This window comes from Homo sapiens, chromosome 20 (genome assembly GCF_000001405.40).
Source record: "Homo sapiens chromosome 20, GRCh38.p14 Primary Assembly".
In the NCBI taxonomy this organism is placed as follows: Eukaryota; Metazoa; Chordata; class Mammalia; order Primates; family Hominidae; genus Homo; species Homo sapiens.
The window spans coordinates 31,838,568-31,844,302 of NC_000020.11; positions in this window are offsets into that span (position 1 = coordinate 31,838,568).

Sequence of the window (5,735 nt, forward strand, 5' to 3'; positions counted from 1 at the left end):
CAGAACAGGGTTCGTACCTACTTATTTGCCCTCCCTGAGCCTCAGTTTCCTGTCTGTAAAATGGGGTAAGAATCGTACCTGCTTCCCAGGATAATGAGAAAGTTACATGGGATTTGTAGGTGGAGCCTGGTACAGGCTACTGAGCTTATGTTTTTTTCACAACTATTTCTCCGGCCCTGGCTATGTTCCAGACACTGCCCTAGGTGCTGGAGACAAGCAATGAATAGACAAAAATTCCTGGCCTGGTGAAGCTTCATGCCAGTGGGGGAGACACACTGAATGGCAATAATGAATTTAGAATGTGTTAGTGGTGGGGGAAATGGGGAATGTGGTGGCCAGGCAGGGCTTTTCTGAGGATATTTGAACAGAAACTGGAGGATATGAGGGAGTGAAGCCTGTGGACATTCACGGAAGATAAGGCAGAGCCAGTGTACAGGCTGCTTGGAGTGAGTGAGGGGGAAGGAAGGAGGAGCTGGGGCCAGACCACAGTGGCCCTTGCCTATTAACGAAACAGGGAGCCTTGTTGGGGAGGTCTTTGAGAATTTTTTTTTTTTTTTGAGACATAGTCTTGCTCCATCGCCCAGGCTGGAGTGCAGTGGCGTAATCTCAGCTCACTGCAACTCTGCCTCCTGGGTTCAAGCGGTTCTCCTGCTTCAGCCTCCCGAGTAGCTGGGATTACAGGCGCCCGTCACCATGCCCAGCTAATTTTTTGTGTTTTTAGTAGAGACGGGGTTTCACTATGTTGGCCAGGCTGGTCTCGAACTCCTGACCTCAGGTAATCCACCAGCCTTGGCCTCCCAAAGTGCTGGGATTATAGGCGTGAGCCACCGTGCCCAGCCTTGAGATTTAATTCATGGCAAATGAATGAATGGTGACCATGACTCCATCCATCCACTCCTAAACCTTCATGGAGGGACTACTATGTGCTAGTCATCGAGTTAGGGAAGATGACAAAACGCATAAGGCAGACCCAACCCTTGGCCCCTGAAGTTTACATTCTAAGGCAGAGACACAATAAAACATGAGTACATGTGCACATGCGTGATTCTACATTGCAGCAGATGCTATGTCAGCAACATAAATGGGATGCAGAGGGAGAATAATCTGGGGGCATCCAATTAGATAAGGAAGTGCAGGAAGACTTCTCAGAGAAGGTGATGTGATGTAGGTGGTGGATGTAGAGAGGCAGCCAGTGGGGGCGAAGGGAACAGCTGCTGCAAAGGCCTAGAGATGGAAAAGAAACTCACGGGGAGGCAAGTGTCCTAAGGGAGTGGGAGGGTCAGCCCTCTCTTGTTTGTATGCTCAGGGCAACCTCAAAACTGGCCCTGAGGGCTGTGGTCAAGAGGAGGCAGCCCTGGCCTTTCCCGGGACACCAGGCTGGCTTCTGGCTGACAGTGGCCTGTTTTTAGCCATGGAACCGTTTCCTTCTGCCCCACCAGCTGCCTCCCTGAGTCACCACCTAGTACCAGAAGTGTGGGAACAAGAGATTAGGCACCTCTGGACCTGTGAAGATGTGGGTTTTGCCCTGTGTGAAGGGAGAGATGGAGAGGACTACGCTGAGGGCATGAGGTCCTCCAACGGAGTTGTTTTATTAATTCTAATTTCATTCCTGTTGACTGAATTGTACAGGTAGTGTGCAGGACAAGGCTTTCCACATACCAGTCCTGGGGACTGGAATCATTGCTCCCATTTTACAGATGAGGAAACTGAGACTCAGAGAGGTGAATCCACTTGCTCAAGGTCACACAGCAAGGAAGTGAAGATGCCAGGAACTGAGTCAAAAGCCTTGTCTGTGTAACAGTCCTTCCTCCCCCTAAATCCTGTCCTCCTGCCTCCACAGCAGCTAGACACTCTTCTGGGGCATAAATCAGGTTAAGGGAGACATGTCCAGTACCCAAATACCTATTTATTGTACTTAACAAACACTTATTTTATTTTATTTTTTTTTTTGAGACAGAGTCTCACTCTGTCACTCAGGCTGGAGTGCAGTGGCATGATCTCAACTCACAGCAACCTCTGCCTCCCAGGTTCAAGCGATCCTCCTGCCTCAGCCTCTCGAGTAGCTGAGACTACAGGCATGTGCCACCACACCCGGCTAATTTTTGTATTTTTTGTAGAGACAGGGTTTTACCCTATTGGCCAGGCTTGTGTTAAACTCATGACCTCAAGTGATCCTCCTGCCTTGGCCTCCCAAAGTGCTGGGATTACAGGTGTGAGCCGCCGCACCCGGCCAACAAATACTGATATTGTAGCTGCCATGTGCCAGACCCTGTTCTAAGCACTTTGCCAGTATTAACTCATGTAATCCTCACAATAACATCATGGGGGTAGGTACTGTTAGGGTCCACATTTTACAGATGGGGGGAACCCAGAAAGGGGAAGCAACTTGCCCAAGGTCACACAGTTAGGACGTGGCGCCTGGTCCATGGGTGGATGGAAGTCTGGGTGTGGAAGGGATGTTTTGGCTGAGGCCTGGATTCCTGGATTGCATACTCTCCCAGCAGGCGGCATGCCAGGCTGGCCGATACAACCTCCCGGCTTTTTCTCATCACTGTGGCAGCCTTGCAGGGCCCTGCCCTCCAAGGGAGAGGGTCTCCTTCCCCTCGGCCAAGGCACTGTTTGGGGTGTGGGCAGGAGTGCCTAACTCTGGGCCATGGAATGCCATAAACCAGGGAAGGAAGGGGGTGGGCAGGGAGCAGGCTGGAGATAAAGCATCGGGGAGGAGGGGCTGGCTAAGGCCAGCCCTGTGGGTGGGTGAGGGTGGCCTTCCCAGGGGCCAGGAGTCCTTTCCTCTCTTGGGAGAACAAAGGCCGAGGCCCAGCAGGTGAAGCTTCCTAATGGTCTTTCAGAGCTACCACACTTTTGTGGGAAGGGGCCGGCCACCTGGAAAGGCAGTGGGCTCCCAGTTCCTGGAACCCCATGTGATGTCGACCATTTTAATGTAGAGAGGATTCAGAAATCGGGCAGGAGATGCCCTTCCGGCTCTGATATTCCAGGAATCTGAGTTGCTATGATTAAAAACTCTGGAAGTTTCTGAAATATTCATTTCAGATTCTGATTCTGCCATTTTAGGATTTGATTCGTCTAACTCTGTAAGGGTCTCAATAACCTTTTTTGCTCTCACCTGCTAAAGAGGAGGAATGGGGACTGGGATTCCCTCCTAGAGATGGACACGCTCCCTATGAGGAGGTCCTTGGTCCAACGAGATGGCCCCATCCCTCCCCTCCAGAGCTACATTAAGGCATCAGAGGGGGTGCCATGGATGGGCTGAGAAGCGGCTCTGCTCCTGCCTTGCCATGTGACCCTGGGCATGTTACCTCTCTTCTCTGGCCTTGGTCTCTCCATCTGTGCCAAGGGGCTCTATCTGGGTCGACAGAGGCATTCACTGTCCCCGCAACCCCTGTCCAGATGAGGGTGGTCAGGTGGGAGCCGGAGGTGAATGTTGGTCATGGAAAGAATGTGAAGGCAGGAGGCCCCGTGGGTGGGGTCCCTGGGCTGGGCAGCTAGCCAAGGGTGCATGAGATCATGGTGTCTCCTTGCCCAGCACCTCCAGAGAAGGGACCTCCTCCAGGTCAGATCCGTTCCTGGGACTCAGACCGTGAGTCAGGCTGCCCTTCCCCACAACCACCGGGCAAAGGGAGTGAAACGCAGAGAGGTGGGCACTGGTCCAGGCTCATACAGTGAGTCCAAGGCATGTGCTGAGTCCAGGGTCCTGCTTGGGGGGTTGGGGCTGAGGGGGCCTGTCTTCTCTTCATGACTATGTCGGAGGCCAGAGGGAGATGTGCAGAGGGGGCTCTGAGCCTGCATGTGGGCAACCCTTTCGCACATTCCCCCAGGGCAAGGGATGAGCAGGAGACTCAGCCTCCTTCTCCACAAGTCCCCACCCTAGTGCAGAGCTAAACTTCCTTGATTCAGGGGGATGCTGGGGAGTACAGCGGCAGAGGCCTGGGCTCCCCCAGCCCAGCCGGCTTCCCATCCTCCTAGTAGCTCAGAACCCAGGCTGGGAAGGGACTGGGGTCACCAGGGCTCCACAGGAATGTGCAACGGGAACAGCGCCCAGCAGAGGCCTCCTTCCCTGACCCAACTGAGAAAGAACTCTCACCCCTTTGAATCTGTCTGTCTGCCTCTGCAGGGTCTGTCTTTCTGCATCTCTCTCTTTCTCTGTCATATACACACACGCAGCCTGAGACACACTGATCCACACAGGCACACGCCATGGTACAGACTCACACAAGAGCCTCCTTCCCCCTCCTCACCATGCCCTGCACACAGAGGGCCTTTCCTCTTCCCTCTGCCCCATGAAGCTGCCCATAGGAGGCTGCACAGACCCTTGCTCCTCCTCCCCATTGTTTGATGGGTTCCAGGCTGGGGTTCAGCAGGCATGGTGGGGAGGGGCCCCACAGCTGGCCAGGCGTTTTCCCAGCCCCTCTCACCCTGCAGGTCCTCCTCCACCCCAGCTCTGAGACTGTGGGAACCAGACAGTTCGGGCTGTCCAGCCGGGCTCGCTTCCTCCCAGGCCCCAGGGGACCTGTCGGGGGAGGAGGGAGCAGCAAAGGCTGGAGTCCTCGGGGCTGCCTGGGCAAGGGAGGGCCTCTGGAGGGGAGAGGGCTGCCTGCCCAAGAAGGGGTCTCCAGCCCCCTGAGTGTAACCTCGTGGGACATAAGACACTCTAGACCACATGCCAAAAACCAGAATGGGGGTGCCCCAGCATCCCTCCCTCCTCTCCCTATGCCCATGATCCAGATAGGAGGACTGAGGCTCTGGGGAGGAAGCCATTCGCCTCTGCTCCTCCAGTGCTGGGGTCTGTGAGGACAGCGATGTTTCAGATTCCTTCTCTGTTCCTCTAACGAGGACCAAGAATATCCCCATTTCTCCTGCTTCCTCGCGAAGGGATAGTCAGAGAAGGTCAAAGGTCAGGGCTCAGTCACTTCTGAATGGTACCTAGGACAGTCACAGCCCATGCTGCTGGCCCCAAGAAATGCCGTCTTAAAGAGTCACCAGAGGACCTCATGGAGCTGGGGGCTCAGGGAAGCTCCCACATTAATGTGGGAAGTCCAAACAGGGGGTAGGTGCTGCCTTTTGAACCCTAGGTGCCCTGTCTGCACAATGGGTAAAGGGTGCCTTTCTAGCCCTGGCCTTCCAGGATTGCAGCAAAGCCCTCCCACCTCTGGGGGCCACCACCAGCTCTGCCCTGACCCTCTTCTCCACCCTTATGTCCTCACTCAAGCTGCAGGTCAGAGGCTGGAGGGTAGAGCCACACAGATGTGGTTTTGATTTACCCTCTGCCACCCATTTGCCCTCTGGAGTTGGAGCTGGCGAGCCTGTTTCCACCACTGTAAACGGGGCCAACTTTCCAAATCACACAGGTGAGATGATACATACAAGCCCGGGACAGGATCAGTGTCACAAATTGTCAGGGTTATGATGACTGCACCTACGGGGGCTAAGTCCCAGCATCTGAGACTGGAGAATCAGTCCCTCAGGCCAGCCCAGTCTTGCCCCTGCCCAGTCTCTCCCTTGCCTGTATCCTCCTCTCCCTGCTCCCCATTCCCTACCTCCCCTTCCTCTCCCTTTCTAGGAAACTCCCTGAGAAAGTCCCCAGCAGGAGAAAACCTCATGTGAGATATTCCCACCAAGGGTCTCTGCCCCCGCTGCACAACCCCACAGCCACAGCCACCCCCACATACAAGCAGGCACCCTGGCCCTCAGCCCCCAGCCATCAGGCAAGCTGACCC